At 50.0% G+C, this 27140-nt stretch overlaps 4 annotated features.

Moving 5' to 3' along the window:
* Window positions 75-671: an enhancer, noted in NCBI's record as "H3K27ac-H3K4me1 hESC enhancer chr7:131323052-131323648 (GRCh37/hg19 assembly coordinates)". NCBI's record gives its function as "activates a minimal SCP1, AML or CMV promoter by ChIP-STARR-seq in naive H9 embryonic stem cells {active_cell/tissue: H9 hESC(naive)}" and the evidence as "EXISTENCE:reporter gene assay evidence [ECO:0000049][PMID:30033119]".
* Window positions 13699-14364: an enhancer, noted in NCBI's record as "H3K27ac-H3K4me1 hESC enhancer chr7:131309359-131310024 (GRCh37/hg19 assembly coordinates)". NCBI's record gives its function as "activates a minimal SCP1, AML or CMV promoter by ChIP-STARR-seq in naive H9 embryonic stem cells {active_cell/tissue: H9 hESC(naive)}" and the evidence as "EXISTENCE:reporter gene assay evidence [ECO:0000049][PMID:30033119]".
* Window positions 14365-15032: an enhancer, noted in NCBI's record as "H3K27ac-H3K4me1 hESC enhancer chr7:131308691-131309358 (GRCh37/hg19 assembly coordinates)". NCBI's record gives its function as "activates a minimal SCP1, AML or CMV promoter by ChIP-STARR-seq in naive H9 embryonic stem cells {active_cell/tissue: H9 hESC(naive)}" and the evidence as "EXISTENCE:reporter gene assay evidence [ECO:0000049][PMID:30033119]".
* Window positions 17869-18414: an enhancer, noted in NCBI's record as "H3K27ac-H3K4me1 hESC enhancer chr7:131305309-131305854 (GRCh37/hg19 assembly coordinates)". NCBI's record gives its function as "activates a minimal SCP1, AML or CMV promoter by ChIP-STARR-seq in naive H9 embryonic stem cells {active_cell/tissue: H9 hESC(naive)}" and the evidence as "EXISTENCE:reporter gene assay evidence [ECO:0000049][PMID:30033119]".

The following is a 27140-nucleotide window of genomic DNA, read 5'->3' as shown; positions in this document are numbered from 1 at the left end:
AGGATAAAGAGATATTTTACAAAGCATGTAGAGGTGTGTCTGTCAGATAACAACACTGGATACTCAATACATGTTAATTGTCACTGTTGTTTGCTGAACTCCCACTGTCTGCAGAGCAATAGGCCCTGGCCCCAGCTCTGATAAGATCCCCCTCAGGCAGAGCTGGCTTTCCTCGGAATCCATTTCCACCATCTTCCCTTCCTCTTCCCAGCGGCTAACATGGAATCCATTTCCACCATCTTCCCTTCCTCTTCCCACCGGCTAACATCTCGGGGTACAATGTTCTGTACCTTCTGGGCCTGAGAGGTGATGGGAGGTGCAGCTGCTTCCTGCAGGTGCCGCTGCTGATACAGACCCTGACACAGATCCTGAGGCTGACGAGGGGCCTGCCCACCCAATGCCAAGACCCAGGGTTGGCCTCACAGATACATCGGGATTTGCAGTCTTTGTCCCTAATCCACCTAGTAGACGCTCTGGGTTTGGGTTTTCCACCCAAGACTGGCCAAGACCTGACTGTGGAGTCCTGGGACCACCGTGTTCCCTTTCTAGGGGAGCCAATGTTTCTCTCTCCAACACCGAGCCCATCACCTGGCTTGTAAACATCTAGAGAGGGAGGCTGGGGAATGGGACCACTGGGATTCCAGGGATCCTCACCAACACGATTCAACATAATTCCCAAGTTGTACCAGGAACGTGGGAGCCCACAAGTCCGCCTGAAGTTTCTCTAAACATCAGGGTCTCGGGTACGAGGCGGCTCCAGCCACAGCCCCCAGCCAGGGGCTGGCAAGGCGTGCAGGGCTTTGCCCTTTATCATCATGTCAGCCCAGCCAGGAAGCTCCCCCGCCCTGCTCATCAGCACCATAAACAGGGCCCAGAGCAGGAGAGGTGGGGGTGGAGGTGGGGGGATGATGGACTGCTCTCTCCGCAGCAGTCAATTAAGAAGGAAGTTTAAGTTAAAAGGGCCATTGTGTTATTCCACTTATGAGAGGAATGTGGCCTGGGGTGGTGGTACCTGCTCTCACGGCTCTGGTGCTCTCCCTGTGATGGTGATAAGGGGGCTTTGGGGGAGTGAGGCTCTGTCTCCTGGAAGTGCTCACCCTGAGCTGCCTGCAGGGCCCACAGCAGGGTATCCCAGTCAGCAGGTTCATCCAGGACCCCAAACCCCACAGCAGGTCCCCCAGGCCTCTCTGGCACATCCTCTTTTGTCCGCTCTGTGTCCTATTCTCCACCCTCTGAGATGACCAAGTCCATCTGCTCCCAGACCTACGCAGATGTGGCCATGTGAGCCAGGTAGTTTGAATAGGGGGCTACACTCCATCAGCATCAGGGCCCACGCCAGTGTAAACGCCCAGGACTGGGAAGACACTTGAGGGCACTAGAGAAATAATACTCTCACCAGCTGGCTGATACTCACAATTTCACCCTTAGACATTCATGTCTTCGACTTAAAACTCCCTATCTTCAGGAGTCCTCATGTACTCCTACCACCCCCTTCCCTTTAGGCGCTCACATGTTCATTCCAATGGCAACTTTCCAGAGACAGTGGCCTTGCTCTGGTTGTCCACCTTGGAGGACACAAGTCCTGGTACCAAGAGGGCCATGGCCTGCCAGTGAGGAGATGCTGCTGAGGACTGGCCCCTCTGAGACCAAATGGCTCAGTAGAAAGGGCAGTAGCCCAAGAGTCAGGAGTCCTAAGCTGTGTGAGCTTCAGCAGGTCATTTACTCTCTCCAGGTGGCAGTTTTCCCAACTCTAAAATGAGGGGATGGGAGCAGATGTCCTCTAGCTTCCTCCCTGCTCTAGAATGCTCGGCTGGGCATGGGCCTGACCCTCAAAGACAAAGAAAAGCCCCAGCCCAGGCATGCCCTGTGGTGGCTGAAGGCAGCTCAAGTTTAAAGTTTTCAGCAGATGCTTCCAGGCATCCCTTCTGCCTCTTTTCTCCCATCCTCAGGCTCCTCCATGGGCCCCAACTCTTGGGTCTCCATGTATCCTTCTGGACCATGCTGATGTTGCCACACACTCACACCAAGCAGGTCTTCCAGCCTTCTGAGTTTGCATAAAAGCAAGGTCCTGGACCAGGCACAGTGGCTCACACCTGTAATCCCAGCACTTTGGGAGGCCAAGGCAGGTGGAATGCTTGAGTCCAGAAGTTCCAGACCAGCCTGGGCAACATGGTGAAACCCTGTCTCTACAAAAAATACAAAAATTAGCTGGGCATGGTGGCACATGCGTGTAGTCCCAGCTACTCAGGAGGCTGAGGCAGGAGGATTGCTTGTGGCCAGAAGGTTGAGGCTGCAGTGAGCCAAGATTGCACCACTGCACTCCAGCCTGGGTGACAGAGTGAGAACCTGTCTCAAAAAATAAAAAATAAAAAGAAAGGTCCTTTGGCACGAGAGTCTGTCCTTTGACCTTAGGTTGAACACGACTTTTCCAGGATCTACCTGTAACTCCAATTCTGTAGCATCGTGGAATGGCGCCTGAGCAAGGCCCAGAGTGGAGATTCCATGCCTATCTGTGGCTCCTTTCCTCAGCTCTGCTCTTGCCTCTCTCCTGCACCCACCCTGGGCCTGCTCCCAGGCCTTCCTCGCAGCCCTTCCTCTTGCTTCTGTGTGCAGCTTGGCCCTCCTATCTCCGGACCACCTCCTGTGCTGGCGCGGGGAGCGCATTTCCCACGTACTCCTTGGCGATCGTCATCTTCCCTTCTGGTAGTTCACGATCACATTAGTGAGGACAGAGGCCAAGACCAACAATTACAGCAGCACTGGATCCCTTAGTGGAAATTGTCATGCTATTCCACACCCGTGTCACACCCTGACTTAAAGGAAAGAAAGAGGCCAACCCAAAACCTTCGTACGCTTTCTGCATGAAAAGTTTGCATGAGAGGCTGGGTTCAATAGCTCACGCCTGTAATCCCAGCACTTCGGGAGGCCGAGGCGGGCAGATCACAAGGTCAGGAGATGGGGACCATCCTGGCTAACATGGTGAAACCCCGTCTCTGCTAAAAATACAAAAAATTAGCTAGGTGTGGTGGCACGTGCCTGTAGTCCCAGCTACTCAGGAGGCCGAGGCAGGAAAATCGGTTGAACCTGGTAGGCAGAGGTTGCAGTGAGCTGAGATCGCCTCACTGCACTCCAGCCTGGAAGACAGAGTGAGACTCCGTCTCAAAAAAAAAAAAAAAAAAAAAAAGTTTGCATGAGAGTCCTTGGGTAGAAGAACATCAAGGCCCTCATGCACCCCCTTCCAGAGGTAGCTGCCAACACCTCAAACCTCAGGGCGTCCCAAGAGTCCCTCCCTGCAGATAAAACACTTAAAGCCAACATTAACCATTTCTCAGTCACATATGGCCTGTCCCAGGAGAGCTCTTTAATCTATAGTCACCTTGGTAAAGGGGAGGTCACAGAGCTCTTTTGCCTCAAAGACTTCCCTGGTCTTGGCATGTCCTAGGTTGTTGTCTTGTCCCTTCACCCCAAGTCGGGGTGAGGACCAAAGGGATGGTCATTCAGTGGAGGGAGGGGTGAGCAAGGCTGATGTCTATTTCTCTACCAAGTTGAAGCATGGCGGTGGAGGAGTCAGATGCCTGGACCAGGGACGGTTGGCAGGAGGGAAGAATGAGGATGCCCTCCCCCTCATCTGATCCTCAGGTGGTGGCCCACCATGTTTGCAGGAGTGCCGCCAACAAGAAACAGTTCCAATATTGTGTGTTTGCCAGTGGTTCATAAATCAGTATAATTTAGCTCTCCACAAGAGGCCTAAAAAATTATTTCTCCACGTCCTCTTTAACTCATACCTTCTCCCCAGGAAGGCCAACAAAAAATTTTCTCTCTTAAAGCCTGGTGATGAGAAGTGGCTTGAACTCCAACTGTAAAAACCTGAATTTAAAGCATAGATACAATACCTCTCAATTAAATATGTATACATATATATTCAATCTTTTCAAACAATAATAGCTGTGATCTCCAATGTGGCTAGCCGGTTCTCCAAATTCCAAGGCACCAGTAGAAAGCTTAGAAAGAGGTAGGTTAAGCCGAGTGTGGTGGCTCACACCTGTAATCCCAGCATTTTGGGAGGCCAAGGTGGGCGGATCACTTGAGGCCAAGAGTTCGAGACCAGCCTGGCCAACATGGTGAAACCCCGTCTCTACTAAAAATACAAAAATTAGCTGGGCATGGTGGTGCATGCCTGTAGTCCCAGATAGTCAAGAGGCTGAGGCACAAGAATCACTTGAACCCGGGAGGTGGAGGCTGTAGTGGGTAGAGGAGGCAGTGAGCCCAAGATAGTGCCACTGCACTCTAGCCTGGGTGACAGAGTGGGACCCTGTAAAGAAAAGAAAGAAGGAAAGAAAGAAAGAAAGAAAGAAAGAAAGAAAGAAAGAGAGAGAGAGAGAGAGAGAGAGAGAAAGGAAGGAAGGAAGGAAGGAAGGAAGGAAGGAAGGAAGGAAGGAAGGAAGGAGAAAGAAAGAAAGAAAGAAGGAAAGAAGGAAAGGAAAGGAAGGAAGGAAGGAGGGAAGGAAGGAAGAAGGAAGGAAGGAAGGAAGGAAAGAAAGAAGGAAAGAAAAAAGAAGGGAAGGAGTGAGGGAGGGAGGGAGGAAGGAAGAGAGAAAGAGAGAGAAATGAAAGAAGGAAAGAAAGAAAGAAAGAGAGAGAGAGATGGGTTAAGAACAAGGAAAGAAAGCACAACTTGAGTCATAAATACTCTCAAGAGACAGTCCCTGTTGCTATATAAACTGACACCAAAACTTTTAAATAAAATCAGAAAGTCTGTCCCTAGTGGAATATTAAGTGCAAGGTGGGATTTGGAGGATAAATCCCTTATCTTTAAAGTTGACATCAGGGAGATTGATCACCCACAAAGCCAGGGCGCTCGCTCCTTCTAAGAGAGGGACACAGCCCCTCTGCTCAGCGGACCACAGACCTGAGCCAGTGGGACACTTTCTACACTCTCATGTTCACCGAGAGACCCTCCTGCCTGAAGAAGCCAGAAACTCCCTCATCCAAATGACCTGAATATCTGCCAAATGGCTTTGCCAGGGCCTGATGGTCCAAGTGCAGAGAATAGCATTTTTAATTTAGCTGCTTTTCTGCCTCTTTGTTCTTGCCTGTACTTCATTATCTTGAGAGGTCTTTAATAACTGAGCAGGCCTGGAACATTCCTCCTCGGCTTCTCCCACATGGCTTTTTCCACCACAGTGCTTGGAGGAGGATGCTGGAGCCCTGAGCTGGCTCTGGCTGGAGCATCTCCTGCTGGGGCTGCTGGCACGAAGCCCCAGGGCAGGAACTGGGAAGAGAGGGTCCTGGAGCCTCCTTTGGAATTTGTCAGCCACAGGAAATGAGATTTATAGCAGAAAAGAAGAAGATATGTCGCCAACACTTCCTCCCCACCCTGCACACACACATACACCCATGAGTCCTCCGGCAGCAATGCCTGAGTCATTGTGTCCCATGAGTTGCTAGGTCAGAGGGGTTTCAGGGTGAAGGGTGTCCTAGGTTTACAACATGCCGAATCAGGTGTTTTCCCATAGCTCACTATGACACTAGGCACATACCCCCACGGACAGGATATTATTACATAAACAGCAGGTCCCCAGCTGCTCAACACCCAGGTGGCAACTATAGAACGTTCCAGATCTCCAAAATGCTTCTCAAACTATCAGGTTTTCTGTCTCTCCAGGTGGGAAGAAGGGAGGTTGGTGTTGTCAAGGTCACAGATGCAGGCACCAGGCTGGGATAGAAGCACCCAGGCTGAAGCCAGCCCCTGGCCCAAGGGGCCCACTGCTACATTCAGCAGGTTATATTCTGCAAGACCACCAGCAAGGGTCAGGGAGACGTCTCAAAGAAGGTGGTGCTAAAGCCAAGCCCGTGGTGTCTGAGCTGTCTTCTACGGGAGGGCTCCCGAGTGTGAGCCCAGATACCACAGGCCTGAGACCATCTGCAGCTCAGAGCAGGCCAGAGCACAAGACATTTGAGAGCTGATAAGCCTAGGGCCAGGCGCGGTGGCTCATGCCTGTAATCCCAACACTTTGAGAGGCCGAGGCAGGCGGATCACTTGAGGTCAGGAGTTCGAGACCAGCCTGACCAACATAGTGAAACTTCTTCTCTACTAAAAATACAAAAATTAGCCGGGCGTGGTGGTGCATGCCTGTAATCCCAGCTAATCGCTACTCTGGAGCCTGAGGCAGGAGAATCGCTTGAACCCGGGAGGCAGAGGTTATAGTGAGCTGAGATTGCACCACTGCACTCCAGCCTGAGTGACAGAGTGAGACTCCATCTCAGAAAAAAAAAAAAAAAAAAAAAAAAAAGAGCTGATAAGCCTAGAAAGGAAAGCAAGGCAAGTCAAAAGGTTTGAATGTTGAGGAAAGAGTTTGGATTTCCTTTGCCCTAGAAAATGGATTTCTAACGAGGGCTTTAGAGTAAAGCAACATTCTGGTGATGGTTAGAAGTGCAGCCCTCAGAGGCAGATTGCCTGGCTTCCAATGCCAGTTCTGCCACTGACTGGCTATGTGACCTGGGGAAAGATACTTAATCTCTCTAGGTCTTGGTTCTGCTATCTGTAAAATGGGATAAAGTGGTTCATCAATTATAAGATGCACGGTGTGTTTTGTTTTGTTTTGTTTTTAACACATCTAAAAATCATCTTAGACTCATTGGCTGGGTGGCCACAATGACACAGTTCTCATTACTTGTGCAAACATACTAAGAATTACTAATGTCATAGAAAACATACTAAGAATTAATGTCATTTGGAAGAAAATCCACACTTTTGAGAAATACTGCATCCCTTAATGGCACAGAAAAAATTATGCAGAAGAACATAACTCTGGGTTATGATGACTCTGAGTTTCAAAACAATTCAGAAGGATGGCACCCTGAGGATGTGGAAATTTTAAGTGTATCTAAACATTTCTTTCATTTATAAACACCCTAAGTATGCACAGAATAGATCTATGATTTTGAAAACCCACGTTTAACAAACCTAAAAGGGCACTTTCATTAAATATAAAATTACAATTTTATGTGACTGAAATCATTGTGTCATAGTTTTTCTCTTAGTATTACAAAAATTAGGCGCATCTTACAATTGGGGGTGCCTTTAAGTTGATGAGATATGGTTAGAACCATACAGACCTTTTAAGAGCGTTAGGAGGAGTAAATGGGTTAATATTTTGGAAGTACACAGAGTGTCCTGGCACACAATGATTCCAATATGCATGCTATGAGATAAATGAATTGAATCTATTTTTTTTTATTTTTTATTTTTTGAGATGGAGTCTTGCTTTGTCACACAGGCTGGAGTGCAATGGCGCGATCTCGGCTCACTGCAACCTCTGCCTCCCAGGTCCAAGCGATTCTCCTGCCTCAGCCTCCCAAGTAGCTGGGATTACAACCATGCACCATCACATCTGGCTAATTTTTGTATTTTTAGTAGAGACGTTTCACCATGTTGGCCAGGCTGGTCTTGAACTCCTGACCTCAAGTGATCTGCCTGCCTCAGCCTCCCAAAGTGTTGGGATTACAGGCGTGAGCCCTGTGCCCAGCCAGATAAATGAATAGAATATGATTTGTGTTTTATAAATGTTCTTAGCAGGGCTAAGCGTTAAAGGAGTAGACTGTGGGGACACAGGGCAGGAGACCCCTGTAGTGGTCCAGGAGAGAGACTATAAAAGCCCAGGAGAGAGACTATAAAAGCCCAAGGTAATCATGGCCGTGGGGACAGGCAGAGGGGATGGGCAGATGAGAAAGAGTCTTGGAGGTGGGTCTTCACCCTTCTGTTACTGGCTGTGTGCACATGAGGAAGACAGAGGAGGTGAACACAACCCCCAAGATTTATCCTGGGGCTGCAGAGTGGGGCTTTCACCTGCAATGGCAAATCCTGAGAAACAGGTATGGAAAAGAAAACAGTGGGTTCAGGCCGGGCCATGCTGCCTGGGGATGTCCGTGGGACATCCAGGTGGAAGTGTCTGGCAAGAAGCTGGCAATTAAGGTTCAGAGCTCAATGGACATATTTGAGACTATGGAAAGAATGAGGGAAGGAAGGAAAGAAAGTAGAGAGGGAGGACGAGAGGAAGGAAAGAAAGGAGAGAGGGAGGGAGGGAGAAAAGGAGAGAGGGAGGATGAAGGGGAGGGAGGGAGAAAAGGAGAGACGGAGGATGAAGGGGAGGGAGAGAAGAGGGAAGGAAGAGAGCTGAGCTGTTCCTACAAAGGATCATCACCCCTGGAGCACTCACCCCCTTCTCTTTAATACCTGATTTAATTGTACACGTGTCCATCTCCCCACTACAGGGTGAGCCGGGGGCAGGCCATGCTTAGCCCAGAGTCTGGCATGTGCCTACTGTCACATGAGCATCTGTTGGATGGATGTCTCTCCCCATAGATACCAGTATCTGCCAGGTGGAAGCCTCATCTCCGGGTGCCTCACTCCTCACAGTGCTCCCGCAGTCCATGCTGGTGACTGCAGAACAAAACTGACTGGGAACCAAAATGGATCAGGAGGCAAGGGCAGGCTCCTTGCCAGCATTAGTGCTCAACAGAGGAGGGAGAGAGAAGAGGAGGCAAAGGAGACAGGAGGCAAGAGGAGAAGGCAACACAGAACACACCCCATGGGCACACAGATGAAGGAAGAGAGGAACGAGACCACGCGAGGGGCAGCCAGTAGATCTGGATCTGCCAGGCATCCCAATTGCTGGCCCCTGTTCGACCTCTGTGTCCCTACCTTCGTGTGTTGCACAAATCACCCCCACCCCACCAGGGGGGAACCCCACCCACTCGGCTTTCCTGGGGCAAGTTCTTCAGATCCCAGGCAGCAGCTGAAAGGTTGAGGAAAGAGCCCCTGCTCCCAGGAGCTTAAGGCAGGGCCAGGCTTAAGCCCTCTGTGGCTGGGGAACCCGGAGCCGAGCCCTCACCTTGCCAGGTGGGCTTTAGTTTCCTCCTCTTGCCATGAGCAGGTAGACTCGGAGCCTCCATTCTGTTCCCTCCTCTGCCTGCCCTCCCCATCCCCGCAGCCTGCAGGAAGAGCAGCTGCAGGACACAGTGATGGTGTCTCCGTGGCGCTTGTGAGCTCTTCCACCCATCCCTATTGTTCCAGACCCTTCATCTTTCCCCACCATGTATCTGTTTCTTTTGTACCCACTGCCCTCATTCAGGCCTTCGGAACCAGAGTTCTGCTCTGCAGCATACAGTAGGTCTCAGCCATCACAGTCAACTTTGCTGGTCTCTGCTGCCAGTTCCAGGGCACCCCACCCACACCCCAAGACCTGCAGGTCTGGCTGTCAGCCCCGGGCATATTCCTGCGATCACGTCATTGTTCCATGTGAGTCACTGTCTATTTCAAGGAGAAAGGCTGAAGGGGAAGTTTGGGACCACCCTCCTGGTTCACACCCTCCACCAAACAGGCTTTCCGTGAAGCCCCTATGCTGAGGGGACAGTCCAGCCCTGCCCTGTCCGCTCCCGGGCCCAAGTTGAGAAAATGGGCAGAGAAAGAGGCAGACCACCACCCAGCCCGATCTGCACTGAGCCCTGACATTTGCAAACCGCAGCTGGAGGAGGCCCCAGATCCAGGGGAAGCAAAGGAAATAGGGGCTGGATGAGGTCAGGGGACCTGTGCCCCACCCGCTCCACGCCCCCCCACACTCCCCATGGATGCCTCAGAATGAATCCAAGCTGGGTTTTTGGTCACTGTGCACCCACCCTCCACCCCAGGCCCATCTGAGCCCTGCAGAGTCTGCTCCCCAGCCAGCCGCCCCTCCCGCCTGGCCCTCGGGTGGGTCACAGGAGCATCCCACCCAACACTGGCACGGGGAGACTTTCCAAAACCCTGTGGCATGATCCACTGCCCGTGCTCTTCCCTTGCCCCAGCCAGCTGGGAGGGGAGAAGGCCACCTTATGTCACCAGAGCTCAAAAGGGGGAGCTGAGCCTGAATGAGGAAGAGGGGACCAGGAGGTCATAGGGAGCCCACAAGAGACCAAGGCCTAAGAAGCATGGGGTCGTGCCTAGAAAATGATGGCCTTAGTGGCCGTGAGAGTCCCCAGAGACCAAGGGGATTTCAAGGAGACTCTGAGGCAGAATTAGAGTTGGGACAGGCAGAAGGAGGGACGGCGACATTCAGAGGAGGGAGGAGTAGGCTGCAAGTTGTAAAGAGAGACGCAGCAGCCAAATGTAGCCAGAAGTTTCGTAAGGAGGTGGAGGGGGCATGTCGATGGGGAATCTGGAGAATGATAACCCCAAGAAGGCCCTGAACTGGAGGCCAGAATGGGGTCCTTGGAGGGCATGTTGGCAAGTCAGCCCCATCTCCGGTGGCTCCAAATGCAAACCTTGGGGAAAACTAAAAGGAAAAAAAAAAAAGCAGCACAGATTTTGGCAGTGAATTTTCCTGGGTCGGTAGAGACAGAGGAGGTAGGCGGCATGTGGGTTTAGCGCAGGGAGATAAGTGTTGAGAAAAGCTGATTTTTTGGATACACTTTATGTCTTGGTGCTTTGTTTATCCAATTGTCAAAGCTCCGACTTCATCTGTCCAAAATAAGTTGGACAGTTTCATGGGTATTTTTACAATGTGCCTGCTCCTTGAGGGTGGAGACATTCTCTTGTTCATCTTTTTTTTCTAGCAGTGTGATAATTTAAAATATGCAGTAATTGGGGCATGGGTCCCCGCCCATGAGAACAGCCATCAGCCAACACACCTTCCCCATGACCATCAGCTGGGCTTGCACCCTCTGCAGTGCTGGGTCCCAAGAAATATTTGTTGCATTGAAATGATGAATGAGCATCAATTTAATGAGGGGAAATATCAGTCAGTTTAGTCAAGCAACTGGCTTGACTTGGGGATGGAGGTACCTTTCTTTTCCCTGAATTCTGGTCTTAATGAGGGCCCTAGGCTGGCACACAGAGCTTGGAGCAGTATCACGTGGAGGGCACTGCCCCGACACCTGCTGTTTCCTTCACATGGTCCTAAATGAAGGGCCAGCCCAAGGGGAGCAGCTGGGCCCCGCTGTGTTTTCAGAACCCAAGATTGCCTCTGGCATCAGCAAATAGCACCAGAAATTTTAATCAGAAGGCAGGGACAAAGTAAATAAATAAAAAGAAACCAGTGACAGCTGCCTGCCATCACCCTAATTAAAAACAAATATGCAATCCACCATGGTCAGCTTTCTGCAGTTCCTTGGCTCCCCCTTCACACACACACACACGTGTGCACACGCAGGCAATAGGCCACCTGTGTAGGGACAGAGGTCACCGTCATGCGGGCAGAGCCCTGGGCCCAGACAGAGAGAGACTCCTCAGTGCGTTTGAGTAGGTTACCCAGATAGACGCGGCCACAGTGCTGAGCCCCTGCAGTCTTGCGTCCTCACACCAGCCTCAAGCTTGTCCCTGGGAGCTGGACCTCCACCCCCAGGCTTCCCAGCATGCTGTTCCTTAGGACTGGGAAACTCCTGGCACAGGTTTCCAGGGCCCACTCCTTCCCTTCATTCCAATATTGCTCAGATGTCACCTCTTCAGAGAGGCCTTCTCTGCACATCCTATCAAAAATAGCACACGTGCAACCTGTTGCCTTCTTTTTATTTTTGTATTTATTTATTTTTTGAGACAGAGTCTTGCTCTGCTGCCCAAGCTGGAGTGCAGTGGTGCAATCGCAGCTCACTGCAGGCTCAAACTCCTGGGCTCCAGTGATCCTCCTGCCTAAGCCTCCTGAGTAGCTGGGACTACAGGCATGAGGCATCACATCCAGCTAATTCCTTTATTTTTTGTTAAGGCGGGATCTTGCTATGTTGCCCAGGTTGGTTTCCAACTCCTGGGTTTAAGGGACCTCGCAGCTGAGACTACAGGTGCTAGCCACCACGCCTGGCCTCCTGTCACCTTCTAACCCCTTGTGTCATTTTATTTGTCTTCCAAGCCCCCCTCTCTATGTGAGGTTATATTATTTTTACTTGTTTTCACTAGTTTATCTGTTACCTTCTCAGCCCCCTGTGCTAGCCCTGCACATTCACACCAACCTGTGGACAGGGATGGCTGGACTCACTGGGTCTCCCGAGCTGCTCAAACGATGCACGGCACACAGTAACCTGCCAACAAATATTTATCAAATGAACAAAGGGTTTTTCCTTCCATGTCAAGATGACCTCTCTGACTTACCATGGGAAGTGAAGCTGCTCTTTCCAGTAAAGGGTGAGGTGTAGAGTGTTCCCCTTCACTCTCGTCACAAGGCCACCAACCCGAGGCCTGCACAGAGGTGGCTCTAGGAGAAATGACCATCACAATAGCCTCCCTGTGCCAGGCCCTCTGCTAGGTTCTCTGCGTGTATTTATTTATTTATTCATCACTTATTTATTCCCTCTGATGACCTTAGTGGTGGCTATTTGTACCCCCATTTAGCAGATGAGAAAGCCAGGGCTTGGAGGAGGAACTTAAGTTTCCCAAGACCATTGAGCTCATCCATGATAGAGCCAGAACTTAAACTCACATCTGTTTGATTCCAGAGCTCAGCTACAAAGAAAGTTTTTCCTAGGACAAAACTACAGCCATTGAACCATCCCTACTAAAACCTCCCCTCAGCCACCCAGAAAGCACCTGGCCCTGACCCTGCTTCCTGGAGGTCACCAGACTGCCCAGGGAGGGGCGCATTTCCCACCTGCACACTCACAGCACTGACGGTGCTGAAGGAGTTAATGAGACTCAGCCTCGCACCCAAGTTTCCAAAGACTCATCAAAGCCTTTGGGGGGATGAGGGAGAGGTGGGTTTGGTGGGAGCAGGGGGAGGGTGCAGAGGGCAGGCTGTGGGATGGAACGCTCTCCTTTCTAAGCATTGTCTGCCGTTATCACAGGGCAGGGAAGAGCTTGCTCAGAGGCTCCCCCTTCCCTGAACGGATAGACATCTCTTGGAGTTATCTCAGCCAGAGGAGAAAGCTGTCACCCCAGGGCAGCCAGACTCCCGAGGCCTAAGACAATGGGGCGGAGTTTCCGGCCAGGGTCAGCTGCAAGATGGGAGGCAGGGCCCCAAGACGGCCAGCAGCAGGCAGAAACTCAGGGCACTGTCAGAGAGACCCACGGGGGCAGGGAGACCCAGGCTCCAGGACGCCCCAGCTGTTGACTCACTGCATGTCTCAGGAACAAGTCACTTCTGTGTGTCTTTGTCTCCTCCTCAAAAGGACAAACTCATCCCACACCTGCCCCTCCAGGGCTCAGAGGAGATCGGCCAGGGAAAGGGAAATGGAAGGCCAGCTACTAACAGAGAGAGGCTTTAAGTAACAACACAGTTTTCGCTGAGTGCAATAGCTCGCACCTGTAATCCCAGCACTTTGGGAGGCCAAGGTGGGCAGATCACTTGAGACCAGGAGTTCAAGAACAGCCTGGCCAACATGGTGAAAACCCGTCTCTATTAAACATACAAAAATTAGCTGGCACGGTGGCAGGTGCCGGTAGTCCCAGCTATTCAGGATGCTGAGTCAGGAGAATCGCTTGAACCTGGGAGGCGGAGGTTACAGTGAGCTGAGATCACACCATTGCCCTCCAGCCTGTGTGAAAGAGTGAGACTCCATCTCAAAAAAAAAAAAAGAGAGAGAGAAATAACGCAGTTTTCCAGAATCCTGAAGTTTCCTGTGCACAGGCGCTCCATGGGCACTTTCCACAGGTATCATCTCACCTTAACCCCCACAACACTCTGAGAAGTAGGTACTTTCTTTTTTTTTTTTTGAGATGGAGTCTCGTTCTGTCACCCAGGCTGGAGTGCAATGGCATGATCTCAGCTCAATGCAACCTCCACCTCCTGGGTTCAAGTGGTTCTTGTGCCTCAACCTCCTGAGTAGCTGGCATTACAGCTGCCCGCCACCACGCTCAGCTAATTTTTGTATTTTTAGTAGAGATGGGGTTTCACCATGTTGGCCAGGCTGGTCTTGAACTCCTGACCTCAAGTGATCCACCCGCCTCGGCCTCCCAAAGTGCTTGGATTACGGGCGTGAGCCACCACGCCTTGCCAGAAGTAGGCACTTTCATTGTTCCTGCTTTACAGATGAGGAAACTAAAGCTCCAAAGGGTTAAGTCACTTGCCCTAGGAACTTCTGTGCTGCATTTTTAGATCCCACCATCCTCTAGCCTTTCCAGTTACTATCAACTCAATTATGGGTCCAGAGCTCCCCAGGAAACTTTCCACGAGGAATGAGGATGGTTCTATTGTCTGCCACAACACCTCTGACCCATTTAAGCCACAGACAGTATGGGCCCGTTGACCAACATATGGAGCTGTGGAGCTGTGTGGTTCTTTTCCGCTCTAATGATACATTTCCTGCTTCATGTCATCGCTGGCTTTTGGAGACCCTTTGATGGGCGGGGCCCCCTCATGGCACACAGCTCACTAGGTGGGTAAGGACCCTGGGAATCAGGAGATTGAATTTCAGGCTCAGTTCTGCTGCTAACGGCAGTGTGACCTCTGCCTGTCGCATGGTGGGAAACCTGCCCTCCACACTTTAGAGTGGCCTTCCCAGGGCCCACGTGAGCCCTCCCCGCAGTTGGTCCTATGCAATGTGCTAGTGCTGAGTTGCTGAAAGGGCAGTAAAAAGGAGAATGCTCTCCAGGAGGTAAGGAAGGACGCATGTGAGGTCAACACTGTTCAGCACAGAACATTGAGGCAGAACAAGTTCCCCACGGGAGGCCCCGAGGCCCCACTCTGCAGCAGGAGCTCATACAGGACCTGGACACCTGAGATGGGACCCAAAGCTGAATCCAGGGGTAACAGATTCTGCCAGGGGCCAATCTAGCCAAGCACGAGTTACCTGTCCAGTCTCTATTAAACATACAAAAGTTAAATTCTTTGATCATGCAGTTCGATGTCTTTGATCATGCAAATAATTTATAGACCCCAGAGCCTTGTAGTAAGCTTATTGCCCAAAGAGGCTCAGTGAACACACAGAAACTCTAGGACTGTTAAAGGCAGAAGAAACAAAATGACCTTCTTAAAAGAAAGTATCATCTTTGGCCAGGTGCAGTGGCTTATGCCTATAATCCCAGCACTTTGGGAGGCCGAGGCAGGCGGATCACGAGGTCAGGAGTTCAAGACCCACCTGGCCAACATGGTGAAACCCCGTCTCTACTAAAGACACAAAAAATTAGCCAGGTGTGGTGGTACACGCCTGTAATCCCAGCTAATTGGGAGGCTGAAGCAGGAGAATCGCTTGAACTCAGGAGGCGGAGATTGCAGTGAGCCGAGATCATGCCATCGCATGATCCAGCATGACAGGGTGAGATCCTGTCTCAAAAAAAAAAGCATAATCTTTTAGAGCACCATCTCCAAGCACGTACATGGGGCAGATTTGAGGGTGGTTGTTGATGCTGAGAGTTTAAGTTTAAACAGGGCATTTGAACAGGGCGCCCAGACCAAAGATCCAACTGATTTTTCTAGGTGTGACCCCGGTACTCCAGCAGAACCTTTGAGGTTCCTGTCAACTCTATTTTTGTCCCTCTGTCTGGGAAAACTGACTAAATTTCCTTTTATTTGGAACCAAGCCCAACTCTGAAGTTGGGTGGATGTAGTCACACTTCCGCACCCAAGTTTCCGCAGGTTTGAAAACAAGGCTGGGTGTTGCAGAGAACAGCTGTGCTAACAAGCACGGGTCTTATCTGTCGGAGCCTCATCCTGCCGGGGTGTCCCGTAGAGCCAGGGCAGTGACTGAAGAGTGGCCAGCCACACCCCCACGGGCCCGGGGGTGGGCAGGGATCCTGAGCCAGAGTCACAAAGGGGCTGGCTTATCAGATAAGGAGCCCCTGGGAAAACCCTTAGCAAGGATCTGAAGAGTCCGTTCACCGGGATGGGGGACTTGCCTCCCAAAACTGCTTCCAGAACCTTCTCCAGAAAGACTGGCCTGCTTAACCCCACCCTACCTGAGCTGCCTCCTTTCTCTGCATTCCAGTACCCAAGTCGCATTGAGTCAACCCATCTCTGCGCACAGGGTCTAGCTCTCTTTCTAATCAACTATAAGCCCTCGGAGTCATCACGTGTCCTCTTCCATGCTGGACCCTTTATCAAGGCCTGCCTTGGAGGGAGCTTTTTCCATCTGCCTGGATGCCTCGGTGGTTCTCAACTGTGGCTGCACAGCAGAGCCATCTCAGGAAAGTTAGAAAATACCCCTGCCCTGGGCTTACCCCAGAGTTTCCAGTTTAACTGGTGTGGGATGCAACTCCAGCATTGGGATTGATTGATTAATTGATTGATTGGAGACACCGTCTTGCTCTGTGGTCAGGCTGGAGTGCAGTGGTGCAATAGCACCTCACTGCAGCCTCAACCTCCCAGGCTCAAGCAATCCTCAGCCTCCTGAGTAGCTAGGACCACACGTGCACCCCACCTCACCCGGCTAATGTTTTTTGTTTGTTTGTTTTGTTTTTTCATTTTCTTTGTGGAGACAGGGTCTTGCTGTGTTGCCCAGGTTGGTCTCAACTTCCTCGCCTCAACCCATCCTCCCACCTCAGCCCCCAAAAGTGCTGGGATTACAGACGTGAACCACTGTGTGCAGCCCTTGGTATTTTTTTTAAAATATGCAGCCAGGGCTGAGGTCTTCTGCTCTGGAGTGTGGACACCAACCTGGAGCTGCAATTCCTAACTCTAAAGGCTGGGAATTTGAAATGAGGACCCAGGAGGGAGCGGGTAGAGTTCCCCCACACAGCCTCTTTAAAGAGCACAGAGATCGGCCAGGTGCGGTGGCTCACGCCTGTAATCCCAGCACTTTGGGAAGCCAAGGCTGGTGGGTGGATCACAAGGTCAGGAAATCAAGACCATCCTGGCTAACACAGTGAAACCCCTTCTCTACTAAAAATACAAAAAATTAGCCGGGTGTAGTGGCAGGCACCTGTAGTCCCAGCTACTCGGGAGGCTGAGGCAGGAGAATCGCTTGAATCCAGGAGGCAGAGGTTGCAGTGAGTCGAGATCGCACCACTGCACTCCAGCCTGGGTGACAGAGCGAGACTCTGTCTCAAAAAAAAAAGAAAAAGCACAGAGATCAACATAGTGAGTCCCTCATTGGACTGGGGCTGCTGGCTGGGGGAAGGGAATTGGCCACAGGGTAGAATCTTCCTCCCTCCCAAAGCAGAGACCATGACTTCCAGCCAGGAAAGATATCAAAATGCTTATCAATGGACATAATCGGTCAGAACAGTTCCCTGACCATCCAGACTGATGCCAGCCACACTGTTATATACCTACTGGATGCCAGCCCAGCTCTGGGCTTCTGTGCTCACCCTTTAAAACTCACCACAGCAGGCTCAGTAAACATCTGCTTCAATTTCTAACTCTCTGTCTCTCTCTTTTCTTTTTTTTTTTTTTTTTTTAGAGTTGGTCTTGCTCTGTCGCCCAGGCTGGAGTGCAGGAGTGCAGTGGCTCACTGCAGCCTCGACCTCCTGGGTTCAAGTGATCCTCTCACCTTAGCCTCCTTAGCAGTTAATTTCCCTATTGAGAGTGTAAAAGTCATAGTTGTTCATGGTAGCAAATCCAGGAAAGCATGAAAAGGAAATCCAACTCGTACACACACTCACCCACACTTACACCCACACTCACACACTCACCCACACTCACACTCACTCCCATATACACACTCACACACATACACACATCATTCACACACACACACTCACACTCACACACTGATGCACACAAACACTCTCACGCACTCACATACACACACTCATATACACTCACATACACACACACACACACACAGTGCCTCTCAACTCCTGGGATTCAATGAGTTAATAACTATAATGTTTAAAATAGTACCTGGAACATAGTAAGTGCTCTGTGAGTGTTTCCTGATAATCTTCTTTTTATTACCCAAGACATTTTGGCACTCATGTAAGGGCCAAGAGAGTAAGAAAAATCAAAAGGCCTCTTTGTTTGGAGGCAGGAAAGATTGCTGGGTTTTGGGTGGTCAGGCATCATTTACCGGATCCTGAGAATGGACAAAGGCCCAAGCCCTGAGCTTTGGAAATGCCCCAGGAACAAAGGCCAGCATGGGCAGGAGCTTGGGCAGACTGCCCAGCTGGGACCCATGCACCCACCGTCAGACCTCCTGCAGCTCTCCTTTTCTTTAGGTGTGATGGGATGAAGCGAGAGGGATTCCCCGGGCAGGTGTAAGAACCCACAGGCCATCACAGTGCAGCTGTTTGCTGAGCTCTGCTGTGGTTTTGCCTGCTGAGTGAGAACTGCAATCCGCAAGCTGAGGGAAATTCCAAGGAGGCCTGGGAGGAAGATCTGGGAATGGCCACATTGCCTGGGAGAGCAGAGGGGTTTTTAAGTCTGAAAAAAGAGCAGGAAAGGAAGAGGAGGCCTGGCAGCCCAGTGCCAATGAACAGGGATGCCGGAAAGGGTAGAGACGTCTACTGGGCAGGGGAGTCTGATGTGGAGTGTTGCTGGGTGATTGATGTGTGGTGTGACCCTCTCTTCTGTACCTCCACAAGACCTCCAGGAAAAGCTACACTTCTCCCCAGGGCTTAGGGGTCAGATTTTTATTTAGAGGCTGTAGCAAAGTTGGCTGACCCAAAGCCTGGCACAAGACAGGCACAGAGGCCCCCCACAGGGAGCAGGTCCACAAAGGCTGCTCCTGATCTTCATTTCAGGCCAAGCTGGACTCCACAGGATAAACCAGCAGAGGTGGAAGGGCTGGAAGGAATCCTACAAGACGACTTGGCAGGATGCAAGACCCAACAACAACACTGGGTTGGTGGGCTGTGCAGGGGAGGCACGTGGCCGGCTCACACACAAGGGAATGTTTGTGCAGGAGGCTCCAAAATCCCCTCCGTGCATATGTATCATCTGTCTTATCACTCCAGCCACTGGGCAGTGGATCCTGGGAAGAGCATGTGTGAGGGAGGGGCCCAAGCAGTTTCCTTTGATCCATCCTTATCTACCCTAGAGGGTGTGAGGCCCACAGCTCCCCGAGGCCAGGTCTATAATTCACACATTCTGGCCTCTGGGCTTCAGAGGGGTTATGTTGGTGAAAGTGCAGTCCTAGTCTGTACCAGCCGTACCCTCCCACCAGGCCCTGGGGATTAGGACCAGGGGGGCTCCCGCATTCCTCCGGACCACCTCACCTCCAGTCTCCTGTGTGTAGCAGCCTCTCAAACTTCTCTGGGGCAGGCCCAGAGCCTCTACTGGCACCTAAGGAAGGCTGTGTGGCATTTCAGCTGGAGAAAAGAGGAAGTGAGATCGTTTCTCCCCAGGAACCTTAGGCCTTCCTCTCAGACAAGCCCTTTCGCCTGGCATCTGCCTCCCACTGCCCAGTGAGTCAAGCCCAGTGCCTGGAGCTAGGAAACACCTCCTCAGTGCCTGACAGACCTGCCTCAGCAGTGCCAGGGGAGGAAGTGCCAGCAAGAGTAGCACAGAGTCACCCACCTGCCCCCCTGTCCTGTCCCCAACAAGCCTCCATGTTTACTCTCCCAGGGGCAGCCATTCCACCCCTTGCCCTTGGAGGGCTGAGCCGTGCTTTTAATCCTTTTATCCCAGAGCTAAGCCTGGGCCTCTGCTGAGTCTTCCAGGAAGGGACACTTCTGGAAGGCTCCTCTCTCCTCAGGACTAACCTCTTTCTTTTGTCCTTGCCAGAAGGAGAGCCTGTATGGTACCAGAAAGATGGGGGAATCAGAACTCCTGGGTCTTGCCCATTTCACTCTCCACATCAGCTGCCCATGCGGGAACCTGAGTTGAGTACCCACTGAGGGAGGTGAAGGAGGATGGTCTGGGCTCCCTCCATGGCTGGAGGGTGAGACATGGGCCAGCTCCACAGCCAAAGAGCTGTCTCCCTTGAAGACCTTCCAGTTAACATTTCCTCTCCAGAGAAGATAAACAACTGGGCTGGTGATATCAGGGGCCACCCAGTGCTTAAAGCCAGGGAGGATTGCTCCTCTGAATTTGAGTTTGTATTTTGGTGCTATCTTACCAGTAACTCTCACCTTGGCAACCTTAAGAGGTGGAGAGGGCAGGTTTTACTGTCTCCGTTTCAGAGACATGACAAGATGGAAACTGAGAATGTGATGTGGCTTACGCAGACCTCCCAGACACTACATGATAGCCAGATTAAACCTGAAGCTCCTTCCTCTTCTCTGAACTGTACACAAGGGAAGGAAAGGTGCCCAGCTCGGTTCTCTTCTCTGGCACCCTGGGATTATGGAGGCAGCGGGGTGGGGGGGCGGGGGAGAGTGGCTCAAGGTAAGCCTAGAGGTACATCCCAAAATTCCACATCTCCTTATAACAATCAGTCATTAGTCACTCATCAAATAAGCAGTAAGTACCTACCTCATCCCAAGTACTGCTCCAGGACACTTCCAGTGGGAAGGGAGGGACATTAAACAACCAGTGACAAGAAAGCCAGAGCTATGGGAATCTAGTCTAGGAGCCAGGGACAGATTCCTGGAAGAAGCCCATTTCAGATAAGACCGGAAGAGTGAATCAGAGTCACCCAAGCCATGAGGAAGAGCACGGACACCCTGTCGTCCGCGTGGAGATCTTTAGATCTTTAGCAGATAGTTGAATGTGAGAGGAGTCTAGACTACAGATAGAGACTTAAAAATTAGTAGCCTAGGGATAGATGGCTTTAGCCTTTCCATGCCCAATATCCAAAAATTTCCCCAAGTAAACAGACCCTAAGCGAGAGAAGCATGCAAACGATTTCTTTTTTTTTTTTTTTTTTTTTTTTTTTTTTTTAAGACAGAGTTTTGCTCTTGTTGCCCAGGCTGGAGTGCAATTGTGTGATCTCGTTTCACTGCAACCTCTGCCTCCTGGGTTCCAGCGATCCTCCTGCCTCAGCCTCCCGAGTAGCTGGGATTGCAGGCATGCTCCACCACGCCTGGCTAATTTTGTATTTTTAGTAGAGATGGGGTTTCTCCATGTTGGTCAGGCTGGTCTCAAACTCCCGATCTCAGGTGATCCATCTGCCTCAGCCTCCCAAAGTGCTGGGACTACAAGCATGAGCCACTGCGCCCGGCTTTTCTAAACAAGCTTCCTATTATATTTCCAGTTCCAATCAGCTAGATCAACAAGCCTTTTCCTTTTTTTTTTTTTTTTTTTTTTGAGACGAAGTCTTGCTCTGTAGCCAGGCTGGAGTGCAATGGCGCGATCTCGGCTCGCTGCAACCTTTGCCTCCCAGATTCAAGCGATTTCCCTGCCTCAGCCTCCTGAGTAGCTGGGACTACAGGCACACACCACCACACCCGACTAATTTTTTGTATTTTAATAGAGATAGAGTTTCACCATGTTGGCCAGGATGGTCTTGATCTCCTGACCTCATGATCCGCCCACCTTGACCTCCCAAAGTGCTGGGATTACAGGCGTGAGCCACTGTGCCTGGCCACCAACAAGCTTTTTCATATGGGAACTGTAGATCCAGTGGCCACTGTCTCTAAGGCCAACCATTCTGCCTAGAGTCCACCATCCCCTCCCTTCTGTCCCAGGCCCACCCGAACTGGGTTTACCTCTGTCTTCCTCTATATTGGCTCTCTGCCTCCACTGCAGTGCAAGATACTCCCATCATGAACATCCTCTTCTCACTCCTGTGGCTCCCTCAAGCCAAGCTCCTGGTTCTCTCCTCCTTTTCTATGCCAGGTGTGCGCCTGTTGCTCTCAGGTGCATTCTTAACCCTCTCCTGCTCTCCTCTGTTCTGAACTGCTGTGGGGCTGACTCCTGCAAGCTCTGTTCCCCAAGTTCTGCGGCAAACAAGCTTCCAAACAGCAGACAGGGTCATCCCATGAAATGGGGGAACAGGAGACAGCAAGCAAGAAGGGCATTTCTCCCCCTTCTCTCTCTGTGGGTGGGGTCTCCAGCAGGACCTGCATCTCCTTCACATTTCCGCCTCCCACCCGGCAGCCCCTGCCATGCTTCTGCTTCCCACCAGGTATCCCTGACTCTGGGCTCTCGTCCTGCCACATGTCCCTTCTTTATGATGCCAGCTCCTGAGGTCAGTTCCTGCTCATGATCATCAGAATACCACCTCCTCCTCCTCCGCTCTTCCAGTCGTGAGGGCAGTGGCAGCTTCCCCATGCAGCTACCCTCTGGCTTCCGCTTCCTCACTGCCCTCTGACCTTTCTGCAATTCCAAGAACCTTGGATCCAGCTATCTGCATTATGTTCCCTGCATTGCAGTGGCCCTTAAACTTCTTGGTGTCGGAGCTCCTTTACATCTTTTTCTTTCTTTCTTTTTTTTCTCAGAGACAGGGTCTTGCTCTGTTGCCCAAGCTCGAGGTGCAGTGGTGCAATCACAGCTCACTGTAGCCTCAAACTCCTGGGCTCAAGAGGTCCTCTGGCCTTTGCCTCTCAAGTAGCTGAGACTACACCATGTGCCACCATGCTCAGCTAATTATTATTATCTTTTTGAGGTAGGGTCTTGCTATGTTGCCCAGGCTTGTCTCAAACTGGTTGCCCCAAGCAATCCTCCCACCTCAGCTCCCAAGTAGCTGGGATTACAGGGATGAGCCATCAGGCCTGGCTTCCTTTGCATTCTTAAATATTGAAGACACTAAATAGTTGGATTTCATATACTGATATTTACCATATCTGATAGTAAAACAAAACAATTAAATATTGGCTGGGTGCAGTGGTTCACACCTGTAATCCCAACACTTTTGGAGGCCTAGGCAAGAGGATTGCTTGAGGCCAGGAGTTCGAGAGACCAGCTTGAGCAACATAGAAAGACCCCACGTCTTCAAAAAATCTAAAAATTATCCAGGTATTGTGGCACATACCTGTGGTCCCATCTACTCAGGTAGCTCAGGTGGGAGGATCACTTGATCCCAGGAATCAGAAGTTGTACTGAGTTGTGATCACGCTACTGCACTTCAACCTGGGTGACAGAGTAACAGTCTATCTCAAAAAAAGAAAAAAATTAAATATGTATTGATTTAAAGTAATAAGCCCATTATTTGTTAACATATTAAATACTTAAAAATTTTTATTAAATATATTTATATTCAAAATAATTAGATGATAAAGAAAAAAATACATTTATGAGAAAAGTGGCATTGTTTTACATGTCTGCAAATCTCTTTATTGTCTCGATTAATAAAAGACAATTGGTGGGCCAGGCACGGTGGCTCATGCCTGTAATCCCAGCACTTTGTGAGGCCGAGGTGGGTAGATCACCTGAGGTCGGGAGTTCAAGACCAGCCTGACCAACATGGAGAAACCCTGTCTCTACTAAAAATACAAAATTAGCCGGGTGTGGTGGCGCACGCCTGTAATCTCAGCTACTTGTGGTGGTGCACGCCTGTGATCTCAGCTGCTTGGGAGGCTGAGGCAGGAGAATTGCTTGAACCCGGGGGTGGAGATTGCAGTGAAACAAGATTACGCCATTGCACTCCAGCCTGGGCAACAAGAGCGAAACTCCGTCTCAAAAAAAAAAAGACAATTGGTTTCTCATCTGCTTCTATATTCAGTCTGCTGTGATGTATTCTTTTTATTGAAGTATCTGAAGAAAATCCAGCTTTGCAGATTTGTAGTTGAGAAAGTGAGGAATATTTTAATAGCTGTTGCAGATAATTCTGGATATTCTTCTTTGCATACCAAAACTCAACAAGTGGTCCTTTCTTAAAGGTAGCTTGCAATGTGTAATCTGAAACCACATCAGTGAACATTTTACACTCTCAAACAATAAAACACATTAGTCTCTCTTGTATTTTAAATGAATATTTTCTCTATGCATGCTTTTTAAATCTCATGCATTGGTCACTTGAAAAATATTAGTTCATTGAATTATAAAAAGCTTCCAAGTGTGGGCCCATTTTATGTGATATCAAAAAGCTATATTCATTGCCATCAACACCAATCTTATCTGAAAAGCCTTTCAGTATCAGCCAGCCATCACACTCACAGCAGCAGATACAAGCTTTGCAAAATTCCAATTTCTCCTTCAAAGCTGAAACTTTATAATTGGCCACAAATACTATCAGTTGTTTTTTATTGAAGTGATAGACTCACTTTGTTCATTTTCAACAAAGTATCTGCAAAACATCCAAGTCTGAACAACCACAGTTTGTCAGTCATTCTTTCAAGTAAAAACAAAAACAAAAACAAAAACAAAACAAAAAAAAAAAACCATGAGATCCAATGAAGAAAAGGTCTATCTAGTTCAGCTCATAGGCCAAAAAAATCATACATACTTTTTTCTTTTTTTTTTTTGAGATGGAGTCTTGCTCTTGTCGCCCAGGCTGGAGTGCAGTGGCACAATCTCAGCTCACTACAACCTCCACCTCCCGGATTCAAGCAATTCTCCCGCCTCAGCCTCCTGAATAACTGGAACTACAGGTGCCCACCACCATGCCCGACTAATTGTTTTGTATTTTTAGTAGAAACGGGGTTTCACCATGTTAGCCAGGATGGTCTCGATCCCCTGACCTCGTGATCCACCTGCCTCGGCCTCCCAAAGTACTGGGATTACAGGCGTGAGCCACTGCGCCCGGCCCATACTTTTTTCTTAAGACAACCGTCATTCATCACTCTGCACTAGAAGTTTATGCATACTTCCTATTTCATCACATGGAAAAATAGGAAGAATCATGGGTTAAGACTTTATAAAATTAATACTTCTTACTGCTTCATCAAAAACATTTTTAAGTGAAATGGGCTTCTTTTTCTTTTTTCTGCGAGTACCCGATGGTGAATAATACAAGGCAGCTGCTACAGTGTGGGGCCGTTGCCTCAATTTATGCTAAGGCACCAACCTGATAAAGAATTCAAACACTGAGGAAACTATCTCTCCAAAACTTTCTTCTATGGACTGTTAAATGGGGCTTCCCTCTGGCTTTGGACTGGGTTCAGCCAGTGGGAAACACCAGCCGGAGACTGGAAGACAGGAGGCGAGAGACCAAGACACATGTTCCGCCGGCTCCTCTCTCCCAGGTCACCGGGGTTCCCTGCAATCCCGCCAGGCAGCCCCCTCTGGACAGCAGTCTCTCCAGATCCCCTTTCCTCTCCCCTCAAGCCAGTGGACAGTAATGGCTCCCAGCTGTTGCTATTATTATACTGTGCCATCTCCTGTTGGTTTTCTGTACCCTTACCCTCCTACCGTAAATGGTCCTTTTATTAAACTCTTTCCAGTGATCTTTGTGCATACCATTGTTTCTCTGCATATACCATAACTTACTGTCAACTCCCAACCTCATAGTCCAGGCATCACCCTTCCTCAGCAGCCAGTCCTTTCCTTTCTGTCGATGGCTCTGTTTTCTCACCTCCTACCTCCTACCTGCAGGGCCACCAGATTTTTGTTTTTGTTTTTTTGAGATGGAGTCTCGCTCTGTCGCCCAGTCTGGAGTACAGTGGCGTGATCTTGGCTCACTGCAAGCTCTGCCTCCCGGGTTCACGCCATTCTCCTGCCTCAGCCTCCCGAGTAGCTGAGACTACAAGCGCCCACCACAACGCCTGGCTAATTTTTTGTATTTTTAGTAGAGACTAGGTTTCACCGTGTTAGCCAGGATGGTCTCGATCTCCTGACCTCGTGATCCGCCTGCCTCGGCCTCCCAAAGTGCTGGGATTACAGGCATGAGCCACCGCGCCCGGCCGAAGGCCACCAGTTTTACAAGTGTTCCGCTCCTCTTTCCTTTACACTCTCCTTTCCTTAGGCACTCTTCCTCCTTCACCATTTCACTTGGGTCATATACCCATAAAGAGGATAGGGATAGGCCATTCTGTTACTTCATCCTCCAGTTCGAGTAAGCCTTAGGGATCATCTTTCTTTTGCTGTCACCTCTGAATGTTATAATGTCTTTCCTAATCCCTACAAAACAATAGGGACCATTGACTTTATGCTTATACTTTATGTGAAGACACAAACTTGACCTTTAAATAACAGTTGCTCTCCAGATAGAGAACAGAACTAAAGAAAGGACAGAGAGACAGAATGGTAGGGTAGAAATAGTGCTGGGCTGGGAGCCAAGACCAAAGTGTTCTAACCTAGCAAACCAAGATGTAACCCAGGAGCAGTAAAAGCAGGGTTTCAGGGACTGGGTGCAGTGGCTCACGCCTGTAATCCCAGCACTTTGGGAGGCCGAGGCAGGCGGATCATGAGGTCAGGAGATCAAGACCATCCTGGCTAACACGGTGAAACCCCGTCTCTACTAAAAATACAAAAAATTAGCTGGGCGTGGTGGCGGGTGCCTGTAGTCCCAGCTACTTGGGAGTCTGAGGCAGGAGAATGGCATGAACCTGGGAGGCGGAGCTTGCAGTGAGCCGAGATCACACCACTGCACTCCAGCCTGGGTGACAGAGCGAGACTCCATCTCAAAAAAAAAAAGCAGGGTTTGAGGTCAGGGTCTTATTAGCTGAAATGAGGACTTATTTTGTAGTTTTGTTGTAAAGATAAATGAAATAGTATATATGAGGCACTTAGTACAATACTTATTGCATTGGCCGGGTGCCATGGCTCATGCCTGTAATCCCAGCACTTTGGGAGGCCGAGGCGGGTGGATCACCTGAGATTGGGAGTTCGAGACCAGCCTGACCAACACGGAGAAACCCCGTTTCTACTAAAAATACAAAATTAACCGGGTGTGGTAGCGCATGCCTGTAATCCCAGCTACTCGGGAGCCTGAGGCAGGAGAATTGCTTGAACTGGGGAGGCGGAGTTTGCAGTGAGCCGAGATTGTGCCATTGCACTCCAGCCTGGGCCATAAGAGCGAAATTTTGTCTCAAAAAAAAAAAATACTCATTGCATTATAAAAAATGGTAGTTATTGTTAATTCTGTTCCGTTGTTACACTAATGGTATCGTCACATTGTTTCAAACAGTGTTGTGTCACACGTGCCTTGGAAAGCATCTGGCACACATTAGGGATTCAATAAATATACGTGTCCAATGAATAAATAAATCAATGAGTTCTCAGCTTTGCCAATGACAAACAGTGCGATCTTGAACAAACAACTTCGCTGCTCTGGGTCTGTCTGTTCTGCTATGAAGAAGAGTATGGGCACAGGGTCGTCATAGTCCCTCCCAGGGCAGATCTCCATGCCACAGAATAGGCAGAGCTGGGGGCCAGAGGAAACTCGGTGCTCTGGACCAAAGGAGTGTGGGCACTGGTAGAGTGGGCTGGTGAGAAAATGCCAAAAGCAAGGCAGTAGGGTCTGTAGGTCTCCACTTGCCAAAGGAGTCAAGTAATTACGGCTGCTAATTCCCCTGGACCCCAAAACCTCCCTGTGTTTTC

Source organism: Homo sapiens, chromosome 7 (assembly GCF_000001405.40).
Source record: "Homo sapiens chromosome 7, GRCh38.p14 Primary Assembly".
Lineage (NCBI taxonomy): Eukaryota > Metazoa > Chordata > Mammalia > Primates > Hominidae > Homo > Homo sapiens.
This window is presented reverse-complemented; position numbering and strand designations above follow the sequence as displayed.